The sequence below is a fragment of the Homo sapiens genome, chromosome 19, assembly GCF_000001405.40.
Source record: "Homo sapiens chromosome 19, GRCh38.p14 Primary Assembly".
Taxonomy (NCBI): Eukaryota; Metazoa; Chordata; class Mammalia; order Primates; family Hominidae; genus Homo; species Homo sapiens.
Window position 1 is genome coordinate 5,030,958 of NC_000019.10, and position 20,794 is coordinate 5,051,751.

The window sequence follows — 20,794 nt, forward strand, 5'->3', positions numbered from 1 at the left end:
CCAGTCCTCCCAGAGGGCTGCCCTGACAGGTGCCTTGGCAGCTCCCATCGTGGCTACTGGCCCAGCTCAGGCCGGCACTGAGGGTCCCACAGTGGTCCAGCTGCGGCCTCTGCTCCCTCTGAGCCGGTGGCTCCCTGGGGACAGTGCGCAGGCCCTGGGTGAACACTACATGGCCACATCTGGGTGAGAGCGGGAGGGCAGGTGCAGCGTTGGGGGGATCCTGGGGCCTGTGGGGTTGGCGGGGTCGCAGGTGAGGATTGGGTACTGGGACCTGGCTGTGGGCGAGGGGCCCGCTGGGACAGTGTGGTGGCCTGGGAGGCCCCGCGCAGTCAGAGGCTGGTCTCTGGGCACAGGCAGCTCTGGTGACTGTGACAGGTGCCTTGCCTTGACACACACTGTGACCGTCTAGTCTACATTTCTAGGCTGCACGTGGTCACGTGCCGTGCACGGTGCACTTGGGGCCTCCTGTGCAGACACTGGCTTTGCGGCTGCCCCATGGGAGAAGCTGCGAGGACTCTGCACAGAGCAAGGGTGGCGGGCAGGGCCTCAGCCCACGTGGGCTTGGAGCTGTGCGGTTTTGTCAAACCCAGTGGGGGTCTCTCAGCAGCAGCCCAGCGCGGGGTGTGACGTCAGGGCTGGGGCTCAGCGCTGGGTATCAGCCCTGTGTGCTGCAGGCAGGGTATGGGGTGGACCCAAGGCAGTAGGTGGAGGCCAGGGGGCGACCTCGGCTTTGCTTTTGTCAGGATGGAGGGTTCTGGACACCAGTGCAAGCCTAGCTGGGGCCTCCCTGCCGTCCTGCTCAGATTCCTGGGTGCATGCTGCCCTCTAGTGCCCGCAGTGGGGAGTGCCTTCAGGAGCGGGTGGCTGCACCTTGGTGGCTGGGAACCCCACTCCCGGGACTGTCTGGGCGGCTCCCTGCCTTGTTTCCTTCACACTCTAGATCACTTTGGGGGTCACAGCGTGGGGAGGTGGATTTTGTTAAGTTTTTTCTAAGTTTTTGGGTTTGTGTGGACTTGGGTCCTTGTTTCCGAATCCTAGAGGGATTCTGTCGTCTTTCTGCCTTTGGAGATTGAACCTGCCAAGGAGGACCCTTCCCCAGAGTCTGTGATCAAAGTCCCTTCCTGGTCGGGGTGGGCTACCAGTTCCCACCCTGCAACACCTGGGACAGGAGGGAGCCGCTCCCGCCCGCAGCCTCCGTGGAGAGGACAGTCTGACTCCGATGTTTCCAGGCGGGTGCCGTCAGTGAATCACTTGGCCTGGTGCAATCCCCCATTCTGTACAGGGCTGGTGGGCTGGTTTATGACCCGCGTGACTCTGGGCAGCTATGATGGCAGGAAATGAGCCGTCTTGGGCGGGCCTGCTGCTCTCCTGGGTCAAGGTTCCTGCTAGGGCCTGAGTTCTGCTGGCAGCAGCCAGCCAGCCCCCCGTGACCCACAGGCCTGCTCCGAGGGGTGGGTCCCCCTGCCCTTGAGCGTGTGACCCTCACCCATGGCCGCCCTCACCTTCGAAAACCCGCAGATGCCGCGGTCTCTCGTGCGGATCAGGCTCAGAGCAGAGAGACTGATGTGCAGCGGACGCTGACACACCTGTGGCGTCCCTGATACGTAAACCTTTCTCTCCGAGGCCCCGCTTAAAATTAGCGCACTGGCTCCCGGTGTCGCCTCGGCCTTAGAAACTAGGACGCCTCTGCTTCTCGTTAGCTGCAGCCCTCGTGCCTTTTATGCTCAGCAGAGTGACGAGGCCGCTCGTGGTTTTCTCTTCTGCCCTCACTCAGCCGCGAGGGCCCAGCCGCCTTTGTCCTCCTGGTGGCCACGGTATTTTTAGCACGCTCCGTTCTGAGGGAGGACGGGCTCCAAGGGCTGGGCATGGCGGCACCGCTGGTTCACCCTCTCTCGTCTTCCTCCACAGGTGTGCTTCCCGCACAGCTGCAGCCATGGGGTCTGAGGACCACGGCGCCCAGAACCCCAGCTGTAAAATCATGACGTTTCGCCCAACCATGGAAGAATTTAAAGACTTCAACAAATACGTGGCCTACATAGAGTCGCAGGGAGCCCACCGGGCGGGCCTGGCCAAGGTGGGTGACATCCTGGCCCCAGCGCGGCCCTCCATCAGCCTGCGCCGCGGGCCTGCGGACATCCTGGGTCCCAGCTCAGCCAGCCCCACAGGCGTGGCCTGTGCACGTGGAATGTGTTTCGGGGCCACTCCCAGCTCGTTTACCAGCGCCTGTTTGTGGAGTTCCAACAATGTGCCAGGCACCATTCTAGGCACTGGAGTTGAGAAGTGGCCGGTGCAGGCCCTGGCTCCAGGGAGCTGGCAGGGGGTGGTGAGGACACACAGCCACACTGCAGTGAAGCCCAGGGGCAGTGGGCCACCAGGTTGTTCTGGCCGTGAGCTGACGTCTCACTGAGGGACGCCTTCCAGGGGTGTTCAGTGCCCAGGAAGGCCTTACTTTCCTAGTAAAACTTTTTTTTTTTAAGCTGGGTATGGTGGTGCATGCCTGTGGTCCCAGCTATTTGGGAGGGTGAGGCAGGAGGATTGCTTGAGCCCAGGAATTAGAGGCTGCAATGAGCTATGACCGTGCTACTGCGCTCCTGCCCCGGCAGCAGAGCAAGACCCTGTCTCAAAAACCAAGTCAGACCACACCAGAAACAATCTTTTTGAGATGGCAGAGTGACTGGGTCAGGAAAACTCAAACAGGGCGACAGCGCAGGTACATAGTGACCAGGAGCCTCCTCCCTGTCCCGACCCAGTCCCCCACCCTCTCCCTGGAAGCAGCACTGTTATTGGTTCTTCTCTCTCTCTCTCTCGGCATATTGTGCACGCGTGTACGTGAATACACACAGCAGACCCCCGAACCCCACATGCTGAGTATGTACAGTACCATTCTGCTCGTCTGGGCATGGTGGCCCAGGCCTGTAATCCCAGCATTTTGGGAGGCTGAGGCAGGGGGATTGCTTGAGGCCAGGAGTTCAAGACCAAGCTGGCCAACACAGTGAGATCCCATCTCTACTAAAAATACAAAAATGAGCCAGGCGTGGTGTTGGTACATGTCTGTGGTCCCAGCTACTCGGGAGGCTGAGGCGGGAGGATCACTTGAGCCAGGGAGGTTGAGGCTGCAGTGAGCTGAGATTGCACCACTGCACTCCAGCCTGGACGACAGAGGAAGATTCTGTCTCACAAAACAAAACAAACTTAAAAGTTGGTGCTGCACGTTTCACGGCTCTGAAGGTGGCTGCCGTGGTCCGTGAGTCTCTGTGTTCGGGTGTGGGCCTGTTCGAGCAGTGCTCACCCCTCAGTTTGGAAGATGAATCGTCGTTGCATTTTGGGTTCTTCCAGTTGCCTGCTGTTTGACTATCGCTGTTCTTCCTCAGTTAGGCCAGGGGTTGGCGGGCAGTCTCTACACACGGCCAGAGGGTGAACGCCTAGGCTCTGTGAGCCAGAAAGAGCAACCAGACGCCGTGTGAATGAAAGTGCACGGCCCTGTGCCAATACAACATTATTCCTGGATGCTGGAGGGCAAACGCGTATTGTTTTCACGTCTTCTGCTTTTTTCTTTTCCCCCAACCACTTAAAAATGAAAACAAACAAACAAAAGCCTTCATAACTCAAAGGCTATACAGAAGCAGGAAGGGGCTGATTCGGCCCGAGGGCCGCAGTTTGCTGAGCGCTGAGGCCTCCTGCCTTTCCGGGCCGCCTCCACCCTGCCCCTCCCTCCACTCCCTGGTTTTGGTGGATTTTGTCAGTAGCCTTCGTCTCTCTCCTAGTGATCCTTCGGTATCAGACTCGCATTGTTATTTCTTTGTCTCTGAGCTGTAGAGCGAGGGAAGCAGTCTCGCACCATCTTTTCTTCCCCTCCAAGATGGATGTTTTTTCTGTTTTGAGAGGGGGTCTGGCTCTGTCGCCCAGGCTGGGGTGCTGGGGTGCAGTGCTGCGATCACGGCTCACTGCAGCCTTGACCTCCTGGGCTCAAGCAGTCCTCCAGCCTCAGCTTCCCGAGTAGCTGGGACCACAGGTGTGCACCACCAAGCTGGATTTTTGATTGTAACACACCATGACGATGTGGGAATGATGGCACATCTGTGTCCGGGTCAGAACGGTGGGGGCTGCTGCCGTCCCGGCTTCAGTTCTGTCTTTAAAAGGCTTTGGTCCTCCTATCTCATCTCAGACCGTCTTCTCTGGCCCTCTAGGCCACAGGCTGCTATCCCAGGAAAGGCCCAGGTCCTCCTCTTCCTCCTCTCCCTGGTGCACATAGGGCAGGTGGGACAGGCGTCGCCTCCCTTTATCCTGGCACCGCATCTGCCTCTGTCTCCTGCCCTTGACCTACTTCCACATTTCCCAGGATGCAGCAGCCCTTTCTGGCTTGGGATCCAAGGCGTCCTGATGTCAGGACGTTGAGGGGAATCAGCATCTCAGACCGCCCTGCGCTCTTCCGAGGTGCCTTTAAATGCCCGCCCCGTCACTTCTTCCTCATCCCTCACCTCCCACCGGGCTCCATGCCCCGGTGTTTCCGGCTCTCTCTGCCCTCCACGTGGCGGCCTTGGGTGCAGCCTGGGTTCCCGGGTGGCCTGTCCTCCCCCGCGCTGGCACCTCCGCTTCGTCCCTCCCTCCCTCTGCCTCCTTGGCTGCCGCCTCTTTGAGCCCTCATGTCGCTGCTTCAGGTTTCTGCACTCCCCCCAGGCCAGTTCCCCCGAGATTCTTGGCACCGGCGTCTTAAGCCAGTGTGGGGAGTATGGTTTCCCTGCCTTGCGTTCTGCGTGTTCCTTCCCATGCCTCTGCAGCGGCAGCTCCCATGCTGCTTCTCCTTGCACCAGTGCAGAGAATCCTTTCTCAAACCCGTGGAGGGGGCTGGGCAGTAGGGGGCCGTCCGGGTCCCATGCTGTGGAGGGGCTGTGTGTGCACGTGTCTCTGTGTGTGTGTGTGTGTGCGCGCGCGCGCGCGCCTGCGCGCACAGGAGACTGAGGTGGGGAGGCAGCTCTCACACAGCCCAGAGAGCTTGGCAGCTGCAGAGTCACGTTGGCACCCGCATGTGGCACACGCACACCCCCTTCTGCAGCTCTGTGGGGACAGATGGGCTCAGGGAAGCATCTGCTCTGGCCCTGGGCAGCCCTGCGTCTTCCAAATGGGGGGCCCTTGGCTCGGGGCAGCCAGCCTCTTTGGAGAAGGAGCACAGTGCCCTGCTGGTTCTGAGCGAGCTGTGGGGGTGTTGGGGTCCCCCTCTCACCCTGGTCTGCCTGCCTTGACCACTGTGTGTGTGCGTGCATGTATGTGTGTGGTGGGGGAGCTGGGGGTTTCCTGGTTCCATCAAAACTGTGTTTGGTTATACATCGCCCCTGCCCCCAGCAGAGATCTGCAGGCCCGATGGAGCTCGGTGGGGGCGGGAGCTGCGGGCACAGCCCTGAGAGGGCCCTGGAGCTGGCGGTGCCCTGGGTGCAGGAAGCCTTCCACTGGAGTTGCTGGGCCCTCCACACGGGGTGTCCCCGACCACTTGGGAAGCACTGAGGTGAGAGGAGCCCTGGAAGGCCCCGTCGGGGGTCCTGTTGGGAGGGGTGGGAACTTCCAGTGCCCCTCCACCCCCACCAGCTGCCTCCCAGGCGGGTGCCAGCAGGGGAGGCCCTGGCTGCCCTCAGCTATACCACCCGCCGGCATCTGCCTCTCACTGTTGGCATGTGGCCGGTCGCCTTCCTGGCCTCAGCTGAATCTGGCCCCCCAGGAGCCCCGTGTGAGGCACTTTCAGGGGCCGCCGGAGGCCTGGAAGACCCGAGTGTGGCAGTAGGAATGTCCCGAGCGGCTTTCAGTGCCTCCTTTTCAACCCTCCCCGCCTGGAGCCCTCCTTCTGGATTTGCGTCTCGGCAGATTGTGGGATGTCACTTCTGTCCTCTTCCGCCCTGCGGGATTTTCCCAGAGCCTTCGGGTTTGAGCCCAGCTGGAAGTGGCCCTCGTTCACGCTGCCTGTCAGCACCTGCCTGGGCTGTGTCACCTAGAGTGTGGCTCCGTGTGTGCGGCGCAGACACCGTGGGGGTGTTTGGAGCTTCCTGCGTGGCTCCCAGATGTCTTTACTACACAGTGCCCGCCGTGGAAGGGACAGATGAGCAATGTAGCCCGAGGCGTTCTTTCAAGAGCAGAGGAATCGGGAGCGAAGTGTTTTTGTTCATTTAGCAGACTAGGATCATGGGCGAGTTTCCTCTAATAGCACTGAAGAGGCGAATTCACGGCTTCCCCTCGGCCAGCGGCTTTGGCGTGGATTTGGAGCCGGGCCAGGTTCATGGAACCCTCCTGCAGAAGCAGACTGGGGCTTCCTGGAGAGGGGGGACAGTGTCTGTGTGATTCAGAGCAGTGCTGGCCTGTGGGTCTCTGACCATACCACTCAGTTCTCTGTAGTAACATCTCGTGTCTGGGACACAGGCCCTTTTGTTTCTGTTTCTCGCCTTTCCACTCCTCAATGTCTTCGTGTCTCACTGACTCTTCAGCTGCTCCCCTGAAATCTAAGAGAACGGCAGCCCCGCAGCTGCCCCAGCACCCTGCCATCACACAGCCTGTGCCAGGGACAGGTGCCCCAGGCGCCTTTTGCACTGTGGCCATAGTGGACATGGAGAGTCTCCAGAAAGAGCCGGCGCTAAGCTGGACTGTCCTTTCCTTGGGACCGGCCTCATCTTGGTTTAACTCTAAATTAGTGTTTCTCTTCGCTTGGCACTGTGGACTTGGGGCCGCATCGTTCTCTGGGGTGGCGCCATCCTGGGCATTGCAGGGTGCTGAGCAGCTTCCCTGGCCTCCATCTACCTCATGCCAGGAGCACCCTCAGTCGTGAAAGCCACAGACATCCCCAGACATGGCCAGGTGTCCCCTGGGGGACAAGACCCCCCCTCAGTTGAGAGCCACCTGCTCGCTGCGGCTGCTGCTGCTGTTACTGCTTTTGCTAAAGAAACCTGTGCATGCCGGCCACGGAGGCAGCACCTTCCTGTCGTTAACAGGCACCTGGAGGATAAGTGTTTTCATTGCCAAGCAAAACAGTTTCTTCACTGATGTGATCGCTGGGTCCTTGGGGACAGTAAATGGATTTTAGCCGTTCTGGAAGCTGCCAGCGATGCAGGCGTCAACACACAGCTCTTCCCTTGGTGGCCCGGGGCGCGGAGGGGCAGCTTGCCAGATTCCTGGCAGATGAGCCGAAGCGGGTGGGTTAGTTCCTTCTCCCTGTGCAGTGGGTGGCCCGGTCGACTCCTGGAAGGAGGCGTGGGGCCTGCAGTGCCCACCCCAGGACTGGGTGTGGCAGCCCCGGAGCGGCTGGGAGGGCCTGCACAGAAGGGTGCCTGGCACCCAGAAGGCCCGTGGTGCCCACCGGCAGTCTAGAATCTGGTCTTGTCGGCCCATAGGCTCACCCCCACCAGAGGAGGGAACATGAGGCTGGGGACAAGGCCAGGAGCCCAGGGTGAGGCGTGTACTCCGGATAGCCCTGGTCCCTCAGCTCCTGGATGTCTCCAGAAAGAGCCGGCGCTAACCTGGACTGTCCTTTCCTTGGGACCAGCCTTGTCTCGGTTTAACTCTAAATTAGTGAAGGCACCGGGTTCCGGCTGCAGTGCCGCCTCTGACAGGTGCTGGTCCTTGTCTTCCTCTGCTGTCTTCTCCGCGTGTTCCAGTGTCTGAGGTGGCCCAGGACCTCTCTGGGGTGGAAGTCCACGTGGCCGCCAGGCTAGAGGTCCTGGGCCATAGTCTGTCTGCTCACCCCAGGGTGCCCCGGGCTGTGTTGTGGATCGCTGTGTGCCTCAGTTTCTTCAGCGGTCAGATGGGAGCTCTGCCATTCCTCCCACCCAGGAGATGGGTGCGCTGGGCCCCAGCACGCTCTGCACAGTGCCCAGCTCCGCACAGCTCCTGTCCTGCCTCACGGCCCCTGTCCCATGTGGTGCTGTCACCCTCCCTGCGCCTGCACTTCCTGTTGGCTCACTCCAGGCGGGGCGGAGGCCCATGGGGGCTGGATCTGTTTCCCAGTGTTTCCTAGCTCCTAGAACTTGGGTTGCCCCATAGTGGGTCTCAGCCAAGTGGAGCCACTGGGGATAGTGTCTGGGCTCCAACCCCTGTTCTCCAGGTGCATGTGGCCCCTGGTGGGCTCTTGGTAGCCAGTGGGTGCAGTTCTCACTTCCTGCTGCCAGAGGGCATTGTGAGCTGCAGCGCTTATGACCAAGCATGAAGATTCCCGTTTTGAAAAATGCCTTACCAGGGCGCAGTGGCTCACATCTGTGATCCCAGCACTTTGGGAGGCTGAGACAGGAGAATCACTTGAGGCCAGGAGTTTGAGACCAGCCTGTGCAACAAAATGAGACTCCATCTCTAGAGAAAATTAAAATTTTTTAAAAAAATTAGCTGGGCATGGTGGTGCAAGTCTGTGGTCCCCACTACTCGGGAGGCTGAGGTGGGAGGATCACGTGAGTCCAGGAGTTGGAGGCTGCAGTGAGCTATGATTGTGCCACTGCAGTCCAGCCTGAGTGACAGCAAGACCCTGTCTCAACAACAACAACAACAAATGCCTCAAAATACGAGTCTCTGAGCCTCAAGATGCCAGAACACACACACGCCCAGTGCCACCTATGTTTGCTGAGTCTAATCCTGCACACACGTGTCAGGGTTGGCCCTGGTGCTGGGGGGGTGCTGTACCCAGCTTCCCAGGCCTGGAGGATGGCTCTGCCCTAGCAGGTGAGGCCCTTGTTGGCTGCAGAGTCTTCTGGGGAGTTTGATAAGGCAAATGGGGGGGTTCCTCGTGCCCCTGGGGGGTGTCCCGAGGTGCAGATCTTGGGGGGTGCTGGTCTCTGGGGAGCCGGTGGCACAGTCTGCTCTCTGGCCCTGCCCTGAGGGTCTGAGGGTGCCACTGACTCCCATCTTGGTCTTGCAGATCATCCCCCCGAAGGAGTGGAAGCCGCGGCAGACGTATGATGACATCGACGACGTGGTGATCCCGGCGCCCATCCAGCAGGTGGTGACGGGCCAGTCGGGCCTCTTCACGCAGTACAATATCCAGAAGAAGGCCATGACAGTGGGCGAGTACCGCCGCCTGGCCAACAGCGAGAAGTACGCGGGGCGGGCAGGGCGGACCTGACCCCCGCCCCCGGGGGCACACCTGCTCATGGGGGCCCTGGGGGCAGAGAAGGTGCGGTACACGCAGCCCCCACAGCATGGCCGGCCTGCTCTGTGTGCCCCGTGTGGGCTGTGGCGACCCCTGCTCCCAGGGTGGATCTGGACCCTCTCCCGGCCTGGGCTGACCCACACCGCCCTCATCTCAGTTTCCCAGGGCTTCCCAGTGCATGTCGGGCGGTGTCCTGGTCCCCGGCCTGGGAGCACGTCCTCCACACCCTCCTGTGACACCTGGGCTTGTGGCCCCTCCTCAGAGAGGGCTCCCTGGCTCCACACGGGTACATGCACAGGCACACAGGAGGGCACAGACACAGAACACACGAGGGCACATGTAACACACATGGGTACACAGGGCACACGCACGTCCATACACAGGCACACACGGGTACACATGGCACACGCACGTTTCTACACAGGGACACACAGGCTCATGCACAGGTACACAGGCACATCCATGTGGGCACACCTATGGGCGCCTACCCAGGTACACATGGCACCTGCGTGTACCGGCAGTGTTCCGAGTACAGCTCCCTGGTTCAGCAGGCACAGCCACGTAGCCTCCGTGCTGCGCAGGCCTGTCCCGTCGCCGTGCCCTCCTCTCTGTCTGTGGCCTCCACCCTGTCTGTGGCCTCCACCCTGTTGCTCTCTGAGGTTCACGTGCCTTGTGGCTCTGGCACCAGAGCAGAGCCTGGTCTGTCCTGCTCACCCGGCCTTCCCAGCCCCCTAGTCTGTCGTCTGAGCTCAGTCTTTGCCACACAGGGATGACAAGAGCCTCCCAGGGCCTCTGTCCCCTGCCCACTCCCCCTGGCGTGTGTTCTGATGTGGGTGCCCCGGGCCAGGATAACTGAGGAGGGGTACGTGGGTTTGGGCCACTGCTCGCCCGTGGAAGTGCGCTGTCCCACCCGGAAGCAGGTTGCGTGGTACCCTAGGCGGGGCAGCGGGCAGTCGGAGCAGAGCCCCTCCCGCCTCTTTCATGGGTGCCCTGGGTTCCAGGTGGCTGAGGGTGGGCTGCGTAGCACCCAGGCCTCACCCTGAGCTGGTTTTGGGGTGTTTGTTCACCAGGTACTGTACCCCGCGGCACCAGGACTTTGATGACCTTGAACGCAAATACTGGAAGAACCTCACCTTTGTCTCCCCGATCTACGGGGCTGACATCAGCGGCTCTTTGTATGATGACGTAAGTATGAGGCTCCGGGGAAGAACAGGGACCAGCTTCCTGGTGGGTGGTGGTGGGAGGGCCCTGAACGGGACTCTGCCTTGGCAGATGAAGCTTCCAGGCAGGCAAGGTTAACCCCCTCGCCCAGGCTCTGGATGCGGGCCTCGCCCTGTGGTGACGAAAGAGGAAGCCAGGCTTTCTCTGATTTTTGCAGGGCCCCTCCTGCCTCACCCTGCAGCCCCCACCCTGAGCTCACCCTGGCCCCACCTCTGGCCTCAGCAGCCGGCCCACAGCGTGTTACAAACACGTGTACTTTCCCAGTCCCTGCCGCTCGTCTTCCTGGCACTGTGGAGCCTCGAGTCCTCAGCCCGCCAGGCCACCTGCTGGATTCGGCTCCAACCCGGTCCTGACTTGGGCTCAGGGCCCGGAGACACTGGGGTGAGGGGATCTCCCATCCCGAGCCTGGTCTGCTGGAGCGTCCTCTTGTCCACACAGCCTGGGCTCTCCATGAGGGCAGCTGGCCGGCATCCCCAGAGTCCCAGCCTCAGGCATAAGGTCCCCCAGGCCCCGCTGGACGCCAGAAGTGGGCCTGCGTGGCGGGTGTGTGTGGAACAGCAGCAGGAAGCTGTGACTGCCCTGAGGCCACGGCCAGCCTTGGCTCTGCCCTGCTTAGTGGACCTTGTCTGCGCTGTGGCCCGCAGGGGACTGGGTTTGCTCTCTGAGCCGAGGGCGCCGGTTTATGACACGGAGGATTCTGTTCAGGCTGGAAGTGAGCCCGCCCTGGAGAACCTGAGGGAGACGCCCCCGACATGGAGCCAGGCATAAGCCAGCCTTGCTTCCGGCCCCACCAGAAGCAAACATGAGACCAGAGTATTTCGAATTTGAGATTTTCTTTTTTTGAATATTTGCATATACATCCTGAGATATCTTGGAGATGGGCCCTAAGTCTGGATTAGTCTGTTCTTGCACTGCTATAAAGAAATAACTGAGGCTGGGCGTGGTGGCTGACGCCTGAATCCCAGCACTTTGGGAGACTGAGGTGGGCAGATCACTTGAGGTCAGGAGTTCAAGACCAGCTTGGCCAACATGGCAAAACCTGTCTCTACTAAAAATACAAAACTTAGCTGGGCATGGTGGTGTGTGCCTGTAATCCCGGCTACTCGGGAGGCTGAGGCAGGAGAATCGCTTGAACCCGGGAGGTGGAGGTTGCAGTGAGCCAAGATCGCGCCACTGCCCCGCAGCCTGGGCAAAAATGAGACTACGTCACAAGAAAAAAAAAAAAAAAGAAGGAAACAAACACCTGAGACTGGGTAGTGAATAAAGAAAAGGTTTAATTGGTTCACGTTTTTGCAGGCTCTGCAAGAAACATGGCTTGGGAGGCCTCAGGAAACTTAGAGTCGTGGCAAAGGTGAAGGAGGAGCTGATCCATCTTACACAGCAGGAGAGAGTGAGGGGGGGGGCGCCGTAGGCTTTTCAACAGCCAGGTTTCGCGAGCACTCACTGCCCTGAGGACAGCACCGCGGGGATGGCGCTGAACCATTCAGGAGACATGAGCAATCCACCCACGGTGCAGCCACCTCCCACCCGGCCCCACCGCCGACACCGGGACCTGCAGTTCCACAGACTCAAGTCTAAACACAAAATTCATCTGTATTTCGCGTACACTTTACACACGTAGCTTGAAGATAACTTTACACAAAGTTTTTAATAATTTTGTGCACGAAGCGAAGTTTTGACTGTGTCTTAACTGTGACCGGTCACATGAGGTCAGCTGTGAAAGTTTTCACTTGTGGCGTCGTTATCGGTACTCAGAACATTTGGGACCTTGGAGCTTTTTGGGTTTTGGATTTTTGGAGCGGGGGTGTCCCCCTTATCCCGCACGGCGTTTATCGGAGTGGGGTGTCCACCTTGTCCCGAGTGGTGTTTATCGGAGTGGGGGTGTCCACCTTATCCCGCGTGGTGTTTATTGGAGTGGGGTGTCCACCTTATCCCACTCTGTGTTTATCGGAGTGGGGTGTCCACCTTATCCCGTGCTGTGTTTATCGGAGTGGGGGTGTCCACCTTATCCCGTGCTGTGTTTATCGGAGTGGGGTGTCCACCTTATCCTGCGCAGCATTTATCGGAGTGGGGGTGTCCACCTTATCCCGCGTGGTGTTTATCGGAGTGGGGGGGTCCACCGTATCCTGCGTGGTGTTTATCGGAGTGGGGTGTCAACCTTATCCCGCGCTGTGTTTATCGGAGTGGGGGTGTCCACCTTATCCCGTGCTGTGTTTATCGGAGTGGGGGTGTCCACCATATCCTACGTGGTGTTTATCGGAGTGGGGTGTCCATCATATCCTGTGTGGTGTTTATCAGAGTGGGGGTGTCCACCATATCCTGCGTGGGGTTTATCAGAGTGGGGTGTCCACCATATCCTGCGTGGTGTTTATCGGAGTGGGGGTGTCCACCGTATCCTGCGTGGTGTTTATCGGAGTGCAGTGTCCGCCATATCCTGCGTGGTGTTTATCGGAGTGGGGGTGTCCACTGTATCCCGCGTGGTGGTTATCGGAGTGGGGTGTCCACCTTATCCCGCGTGGTGTTTATCAGAGTGGGGTGTCCACCTTATCCCACTCTGTGTTTATCGGAGTGGGGTGTCCACCTTATCCCGTGCTGTGTTTATCGGAGTGGGGGTGTCCACCTTATCCCGCGTGGTGTTTATCGGAGTGGGGGTGTCCACTGTATCCCGCGTGGTGGTTATCGGAGTGGGGGTGTCCACCTTATCCCGCGTGGTGTTTATCGGAGTGGGGTGTCCACCTTATCCCACGCGGTGTTTATCGGAGTGGGGGTGTCCACCTTATCCCGCGTGGTGTTTATCGGAGTGGGGGTGTCCACCTTATCCCGCGTGGTGTTTATCGGAGTGGGGTGTCCACCTTATCCCACGCGGTGTTTATCGGAGTGGGGTGTCCACCTTATCCCACGCGGTGTTTATCGGAGTGGGGGTGTCCACCTTATCCCGCGTGGTGTTTATCGGAGTGGGGTGTCCACCTTATCCCGCGTGGTGTTTATCGGAGTGGGGTGTCCACCTTATCCCACGCGGTGTTTATCGGAGTGGGGGTGTCCACCTTATCCCGCGTGGTGTTTATCGGAGTGGGGTGTCCACCTTATCCCGCGTGGTGTTTATCGGAGTGGGGTGTCCACCTTATCCCACGCGGTGTTTATCGGAGTGGGGGTGTCCACCTTATCCCGCGCAGTGTTGATCAGTTCATCCGCTGACGGACATTTGGGCTGTGTTCTCTTTTTGGCTATTTTGAATAATGGTGCTGTGAACGTTTCTTGTGTGTTTGTTTCTTTGTCTTTGAGACAGAGTCTTGCTCTGTCACCTAGGCTGCAGTGCAGTGGCGCAATCTCAGCTCTCTGCAACCTTGCCTCCTGGGTTCAAGCGATTCTCCTGCCTCAGCCTCCCGAGTAGCTGGGATTACAGTGTCACATGGAGTCATCCCACCACTCTAATGATCCCCTGAGCTCCCCCTCGTCATTCCTCCCTCTCCCCCATCCCTCTCCTGCGCCCCAGGCAACCACTGATGTCTCACTGTCTCCATAGCTCAGCCTTTTCCAGAATGCCGTGAGCTGGAATCCTACAGTCGGTAGCCTTTTCCCATTGGCCTCTTTGACCAAGCAATAGGTGTTCAAGTTTGCTCCATTTTTCATGGCTTGAGAGCTCATTTCTTTTCAGCGCTGAATAATACTCCATGGTCCGGGTGCACCACAGTGTGCCTGCTCATTCACCTATTAAAGGACCCTTCCAAGTTTGGTCAATGTGGGCAGAAGTTTTCATCTCCTTTGGGTAAATACCAAGGAGTACAGTTGCTGGACCACGTGGTGAGAGGACGTTTAGTTTTTTAAGACGCCACCAAACTGTCCTCCCGCCCACCTGTCCCACTGTGTGCTCCTAGCAGCAGCGAATGAACGTTCCCAGGGCCCCGCTTCCCCGCCCCCATCTGGAGTTGTCGGTGTTGTGCATCCTGGCCACCCTGGGAGGCGTGTTGCGCTGTCTCATTGCCATTTCAATCTGCATTCCCCCGATGGCTGCCTTCGCGGCGGGGCCCCTTTGCATGCCTGTTTGCCATCTGTGTGTTTCCTTGGTGAGCTCTCTTCATGTCTTTTGCCCAGTTTGTTGTTGTTGTTGTTGTTGTTTGAGATGGAGTCTCGCTCTGTTGCCCAGGTTGGAGTGCAGTGGCGTGATCTAGGCTCACTGCAACCTCCACTTCCTGGGTTCAATCATTTCTGTGCCTCAGCTTCCCAAGTAGCTGGGATTACATTACAGGCGCCCACCACCACACCCAGCTAATTTTCTTTCTTTTTTTTTTTTTGAGATGGAGTCTTGCTCTGTCACCAGGCTGGAACTACGGTGCCCACCACCACGCCCAGCTAATTTTTGAATTTTTAGTAGCGATGGGGTTTCACCATGTTGGCCAGGATGGTCTCAATCTCTTGACTTCGTGATCTGCCCGCCTTGGCCTCCCAAAGTGCCGGGATTTACAGGCATGAGCCACCATGTCCAGCCTAATTTTTGTATTTTTAGTAGAGACGAGGTGTTGTCATGTTGGCCAGGCTGGTCTCAAGCTCCTGACCTCAGGTGATCCACCTGCCTTGGCCTCCCAAAGTGCTGGGATTACAGGCGTGAGCTACCGCGCCTGGCCATCTTTTTCTGTTTTTTAACCATGCTGTTTGTTTTCTTCTGGTTAAATTTGAGAGTTTGCTGTGTATTTTGGTTATCAGTTGTGACTTGCAAGTATTTTCTTTCTGACTGGGGCTTGTCTTTCTCTTACGGATCCTGCCTGATTGTTTTCAAGTGAAAGTTCAGCCTCAGACTCCAGTGCATGAGAGCCTCTGGGTTGGCTGGCCTGCACTGCCTGCACTTGGCCTGTAGTGATGACCCGGGAGGGACTCTGCAGCCGCACGCAGGCTGTGCCAGCCCAGGCCGACCTGCCACAGGTGCCAGGGGAAGCTTCAGGGCTTCCTTGCCATGTGTTTGCCATGCCTAGCCTATGCACTAGCCTACTTTTACAGCGGGGGAAACAGCCCACAGCAGAGAAGCGACTTGCTGTGGTCCCAGGATGAATTTGCGCCCAGCTCAGCCTGTGCCTGGGGCCTCCCTCTGCCCCATCTGGGTCTCATCACTGCCTCCCTCCTCACCTCTTCTGGGCTCCTGCCAGGGCTCACCTTGCAAAGGAACCGCTGGTCTTGCCAAGTCTGAGGGCCGGTCGTGCAGGTGCAGGAACAGCTGGTGGGGGGTGGATTCAGGCTGTGAGAGCAGCTCACGTTCATGTGTGTCTGGGCTCCTCTCGGCCTCTCAGCAGGCCATGAGCCTCTCCGGGGACTGCAGTGACTAATGTGTATTTTATGAGCTCTTGGGACAGGACGGGGTTTGTTTGCTTGTGGCATTAAGAATAGATGTGCCTGGTGGGTGGGGATTCCGTCCTTGTTTGCCTAGTTCTGAAAACTGTCTTCGTCTCCTCGGTCAGAAGCTGTGGAAGGGCTGTCACTGGGCCTTGGCTCCGGTACCATCGCTGGGTTAGCCCCAAGTGGTGACTGTTTTTCTCCTTCCGTGTCATTGACTTAGAGGCGTGTTAATTATGCACTCCCAAACTGCAGGCTTCACAACAAGGCCTCCACCCAGCAGGAAGCACGCAGCTCAGTGGAATCTGACAGGCCCTGCCTGCCTGGTGCACGCTGGCATGTGCGATGGGGCCCTTCCTGGAAGGGCCAAGCTGGCGGTGAGCCCTTCAGAAAAGGTGTCTGGGCTGGGTATGGCGGCTCATGCCTGCAGCCCCAGCGCTTGGAGGGGCCAAAGTGGGAGGGACCATTGAGCCCAGGAGTTCGAGACCAGCCTGGGCAACAGAGTGAGACTTCATCTCTACACAGAAAAAAGTAAAAATTAGCCAGGTGTGGTTTCTCACGCCTATAGCCTATAGTCCCAGGTACTCAGGAGACTGAGGCTGGAGGATTACCTGAGCCTGGGAGGTTGAGGCTGCAGTGAGCTATGATTCTGCCACTGCACTCCAGCCTGGGCAAGAATCTCACACAGGTTAAGACCAGCCCCTGGTCTGCAGGGTATGACCGGCCCCTGGGGGGGCCGCAGATACTGGGGTGGAGGAGGATGGGCAGCGACCCCTGGGACTCTGGGGAGAATTAGCCTGCACCCCAGGGCTCGCAGGTTCTGGGGGTGGCCGGGCGGTTGCCGACGCTGCTCTGCCGCCCCACAGGACGTGGCCCAGTGGAACATCGGGAGCCTCCGGACCATCCTGGACATGGTGGAGCGCGAGTGCGGCACCATCATCGAGGGCGTGAACACGCCCTACCTGTACTTCGGCATGTGGAAGACCACCTTCGCCTGGCACACCGAGGACATGGACCTGTACAGCATCAACTACCTGCACTTTGGGGAGCCTAAGTCCTGGTGAGTGTCTGCACTGGCCCTGCCGCCGGCCGGACCGAGAGCCCCTCGGGAGGGAGTCAATCCCGGGTACACGGCTGGGCGCCGTGGCAGGGGCCCCACCAGGTGAGGCCGCAAAGGTCGGCCTATGACGGCTGGAGATCTTCCGGACCGCCTGGGGTCACCCACCAGCTTTGGGGTGGGGGATGTGCACCCCCAGAGCCGAAGCTCCCAGGCCCCTAGAGCTTGCGCTTTGTACCCCGGAGTGCCCCCCATTGAGCTGTGAGCGGCCCCAGGTGTCCCCATGGCCAGGAGCGTGGTCTTGAGCCTCCTGAGCTGCCCAGGCTGTGCTGCCTCACAGCCAAGTGGAGACGTTCCTGGTGAAGGGACACTGTCCATGCTGCCCAGAGGGGCCTGGCCAGGATGACCCTGCAGCCGCTCCCTCGCAGTCTCCGCCCTGGCACGTCTGGGCCAGGCCCTACAGTTAGGAGGGCAGGGCGTGGCGCTGCAGGCCTGTGTGCAGTGTGGTGGACCTGCCCCTGCCCGGGAGGTGCCGGGTGCAGCGTGGGCGCTGCTGTGGCGGGCTGAGTTCCAGGACCTTCTCCTGGCTCCCTGTGCACGTCGCAGCGAGGCCGTGTGGGGGTGTGTGTGAATGTGCACGTGTGCGCGCGCATGTGAGTGCGCACGTGAGTGAGTGTGAGTATGCATGCGTGTGTGTGCCCCTGTGTCACCGGGCTCTGCTTGTGACTGCGGAACCTGCTGGGTGCTCCGCGGGGCTGCCCTGCACTGTCCTCCAAGGGCCGCTAGGTGGCGCTCCCGCCCTTCCCGGGGCCGCGCTCATGCCTGGAATCTTCCCAGGCCGTCCTCGCGCTGGAGGAGGACGGAGCCTTTGCCTGGAGGGCGTGGGAGCTCCGCCTTGCCTGGCCCTTCCCTGGGTTGGAGTTGTAAGCGGGGAGAGGGGGGGGCGGGGGAGAATGCTGTACCTCTTCGTTAAAAAAAAGCACAATGAGCAGGAAGGGGCGAGCTGTGCGCATCCTCACCTGCGTCCGAAGCGCAGATGGAGCCCAAGGGAAAGGCCCTGTAGAGGACCCCGTGTGACTTGGGGCAAAGCGTGGCCTCCCAGGGGTGCGTGGGCAGCGGGACGCCCATGGTGTGACCGGGTTTGTGCCTCCATAGGGACCGTCTGCCCTGTGCAGAGAGCCCCTGTGGGGCGGGAAGTGGCGAGCAGCCGGCAAGGAGGCCCAGCCAGACAGAAGCAGGGGGGTCAGGGACATGGGAGGTGGGGGACCAGCCAGTGAGTCAGACGTGAGGACTTCAGTGCCAAGGACTGCAGTGCCAGCAGCTCGGTCTCCTGTGAGGGGCCCCGGGGGTTGCTGGCTGTCGTGGGAGCCTGGGCTGGGGGAGACCCTGGGGCTGGGGCTGCTATGGGTCAGATGCCAGGGCCGGGGGTGCCTGCTGCTAGGTCAGAGGGGCCTCTGCGGGAGGAGGCGACAGTGGCTCCCTGGAGGCGGCAGTGGGGCCCGGCCACAGGCCGTCGGAGGGACTGACAGGGATGCGCCAGGAGCCGAGGGCCTCTCCTGAGCTGGTTCATCCAGGACGCAGCCTCTGAGGGCATCCCGCACCTCTCCCCGAATGCCCCTCACTGCACCCCTCCTCTGCTTCGCCTGGTGCCGCAGGCGTCCAGCTGCCACTCCCATGTCTACCCTTCCCCATGACCCGTCGTGGGAGATGGCTCAGGGGAGACAGCTGGGGCGGGGCAGCGTTGAGTAGGCAACAGTTCTTTCGGGAAGGGAATTCCGGAAGCGCCCTGACCTTGGTCTTGGTTTTTGCCCAGGAAGGGGTGGGGATGGCAGGGGTGGGGCCTGGCATGAGGGGCCTGAGAGGAGCCACAGTGTAGGCTCTAGCTGCAGGGCATGCCCTCAACCCCCCAGAGCTCCCCACTCGCCCCCACAGTCAGCTCAGCCTGCTTAGCACGCAGGGCCCCTTCCCTGCTCTCTCACCAGGGCTGAGGCGGGGCCCCAGATGTTCCCACGACACCCCATGCCTGCGACAGGCATAGACCAGGTGACCCCAGCATTAGCCAACGTCTACTACGGGCTATCAGTCCTCCCCAGCAGATGGTAGGGGCCCTGGTCACCCCGTGTCCCAGCTCCCAGCAGGGGCCTGGCACAGAGAGGCTTGGTGACTTGCCGGAGCCTCTTGGATCCTCACTGTGTGCTGTGGGAGCTGACTACCCCTCCAGGCTGCCCTCCCAACTTGCAGGGGGGTGGGGACAAGGTAACTGGAAAGAGTGTCTGGCCTCTGGTCCCTGGGCTGGGGTTCAGGAAGCTACTCAGGCCCCTGGGAGATGCTTCCCCCCTCTCCCTTCCTCGGGCCCTTGGGGTAGGTAGGGCTCCCAGCCAAGAGATCACCAAGGCTGCGCCCCGTCTGTCTCCCTCATTACACTGTTCCGCTTGCATCTGCAGCCGCTTAATTGCAACCATTTCAGAGTATTCCAGTGGGATTTTAAAGAAAGTGTCAATGTACTCAGGTTTACAGCATTTTATTAAAGCTTTCTGGGTCTGTTGCTACTTTGGTAGCTTGATTTGTGTGTCAAAGTGACGTGAACAGCCTGGTGTCAATAACAGGCAGAAACATGCTTCAAAAGGCTGGCTTCTGTGGTGCTCTCAGGCAGCGGGGCTAAGAATATCTGAAGAGACTGAGCGCCTCAAAATCTCTTTGGCAATGCGGATTGAAACCAGAGCCAGCACCTGCAACTTCCCCCCGCCAACTTCCCGCAGCCCCTTCTGTCACCCAGGCCGGGGGGGCCGGAGTGCAGGTGGGTGTGGGGAGGGTCCGAGCTTTCCACTTGACCCTGTATTCCAGGGTCTTCCTGGGTGGGGTGGTGGCCTGGGGTCGGTGTCCTGAAGGCTGTGCCCCATAGAAGCCACTGTCCCAGGCCACACTCCTTGCCATAGATCAAGACTCTCCTGGGGCCAGGCGCGGTGGTTTGCGCCTGTAATCCCAGCACTTTGGGAGGCTGAGGCGGTTGGATCATGAGGTCAGGAAATCGAGACCATCTTGGCTAACACGGTGAAACCCCGTCTCTACTAAAAATACAAAAAATGAGCCGGGTGTGGTGGCAGGTGCCTATAATCCCAGCTACTCGGGAGGCTGAGGCAGGAGAATGGTGTGAACCCAGGAGGCGGAGCTTGCAGTGAGCGGAGATCACACCCCTGCACTCCAGCCTGGGCGACAGAGTGAGACTCCGTCTCAAAATAAATAAAAAATAAATAAATAAAAAGACCCTCCTGGAACCTGGGGTGGGGGTGGTTTAGCCGAGCTGACCCTCCAAGGCCGGTCCTGCGGCTGTTCCCCTCCAGGCATCCCCTCCCCAACCTGCACCTGTGGCAGCCCCTGCAGGGCCCACCCTCCTGAGCCGCCCGGGCCAGGCACGAAACACAGGCGTCGCCACGAGGCTGAGCGCAGTGTCGCCAGCAGCATCACATGCCACATGCCCCTAGAAGAGAGTTCCAGGCCGGGGTGGGAGGATGTTGGGTCTCGGCCAGCCCTGAGAGAGTTGCTGGTCCCAGGGCACTTCTGGGTCATTCGGATTGTGCTGTGCACCCCAAAGAAGAGAGTGGAGTGGCCATCCCCCCTCGAGGGCCCTGGCCCACGCTGCCTGGGAAAGTGCCCACTGTTCAGTCCTGTGCACCCATGTGCCGGGCTGGGACCTGGCCGAGGCTTCGGGTCCCCTTTTGCCCCCAACCCATCAGACACCCTGCAGGGCAGTGTTGGGGTGTTTAGGGGACTGTGGGCCACCGCCAAGAGCAGAAGCTTTGGCTCTCACTGCAGCAGGGAAGCCAGATGGGGGATCAGCATGTTCCTGGGGCTGCAGGGACTCCCGAGGACGTCGTGAGCTGATGGGACATGGTCAGCTGCTTGCACTGGCTCCAAGGCGGCGAGAGGAAGGCCCTCCTGAGGAGTGCCGCGGGGCCAGCGCAGGTGCGTGGCAGCCACAGAGGCCTCTGCTCAGGCTTAGGGAAGGGGGTGTCCCCCAGGGTCTCTGCAGCTCCGCTTGTCAGAAGGGGGGTCATCCTGCACCCAGGTGAAGCCCCCAAGAGCAG

General features: G+C 59.9%; 1 protein-coding gene across 16 annotated transcripts in view, besides 7 other annotated features; it reads left to right on the forward strand.

Moving 5' to 3' along the window:
* KDM4B (lysine demethylase 4B) overlaps positions 1-20,794 on the forward strand; it is a 184,486-nt gene that overhangs the window by 61,845 nt on the left and 101,847 nt on the right. For 15 of the 16 annotated variants that reach the window (XR_007066691.1, XM_005259521.5, NM_015015.3 and 12 more), the window contains exons 3-6: positions 1,909-2,074; positions 8,879-9,054; positions 10,180-10,294; positions 16,519-16,712. Coding sequence is in view for 15 of the 16 variants with exons in the window: in XM_005259521.5 (XP_005259578.2) it covers positions 1,934-2,074; positions 8,879-9,054; positions 10,180-10,294; positions 16,519-16,712 (626 nt within the window). In the remaining variant the exon portion in view is untranslated. The remainder of the gene's footprint in view (positions 1-1,908; positions 2,075-8,878; positions 9,055-10,179; positions 10,295-16,518; positions 16,713-20,794) is intronic. The other variant, XM_011527814.3, reaches the window with a different exon arrangement.
* Positions 618-667: an enhancer, noted in NCBI's record as "active region_13791". NCBI's record gives its function as "activates an Ori minimal core promoter by ATAC-STARR-seq in GM12878 lymphoblastoid cells {active_cell/tissue: GM12878}" and the evidence as "EXISTENCE:reporter gene assay evidence [ECO:0000049][PMID:35858748]".
* Positions 698-757: an enhancer, noted in NCBI's record as "active region_13792". NCBI's record gives its function as "activates an Ori minimal core promoter by ATAC-STARR-seq in GM12878 lymphoblastoid cells {active_cell/tissue: GM12878}" and the evidence as "EXISTENCE:reporter gene assay evidence [ECO:0000049][PMID:35858748]".
* Positions 5,720-6,294: an enhancer, noted in NCBI's record as "H3K4me1 hESC enhancer chr19:5036688-5037262 (GRCh37/hg19 assembly coordinates)". NCBI's record gives its function as "activates a minimal SCP1, AML or CMV promoter by ChIP-STARR-seq in primed H9 embryonic stem cells {active_cell/tissue: H9 hESC(primed)}" and the evidence as "EXISTENCE:reporter gene assay evidence [ECO:0000049][PMID:30033119]".
* Positions 11,259-11,778: an enhancer, noted in NCBI's record as "H3K27ac-H3K4me1 hESC enhancer chr19:5042227-5042746 (GRCh37/hg19 assembly coordinates)". NCBI's record gives its function as "activates a minimal SCP1, AML or CMV promoter by ChIP-STARR-seq in naive H9 embryonic stem cells {active_cell/tissue: H9 hESC(naive)}" and the evidence as "EXISTENCE:reporter gene assay evidence [ECO:0000049][PMID:30033119]".
* Positions 11,779-12,297: an enhancer, noted in NCBI's record as "H3K4me1 hESC enhancer chr19:5042747-5043265 (GRCh37/hg19 assembly coordinates)". NCBI's record gives its function as "activates a minimal SCP1, AML or CMV promoter by ChIP-STARR-seq in naive H9 embryonic stem cells {active_cell/tissue: H9 hESC(naive)}" and the evidence as "EXISTENCE:reporter gene assay evidence [ECO:0000049][PMID:30033119]".
* Positions 15,657-16,460: an enhancer, noted in NCBI's record as "H3K4me1 hESC enhancer chr19:5046625-5047428 (GRCh37/hg19 assembly coordinates)". NCBI's record gives its function as "activates a minimal SCP1, AML or CMV promoter by ChIP-STARR-seq in primed H9 embryonic stem cells {active_cell/tissue: H9 hESC(primed)}" and the evidence as "EXISTENCE:reporter gene assay evidence [ECO:0000049][PMID:30033119]".
* Positions 17,954-18,556: an enhancer, noted in NCBI's record as "H3K27ac-H3K4me1 hESC enhancer chr19:5048922-5049524 (GRCh37/hg19 assembly coordinates)". NCBI's record gives its function as "activates a minimal SCP1, AML or CMV promoter by ChIP-STARR-seq in naive H9 embryonic stem cells {active_cell/tissue: H9 hESC(naive)}" and the evidence as "EXISTENCE:reporter gene assay evidence [ECO:0000049][PMID:30033119]".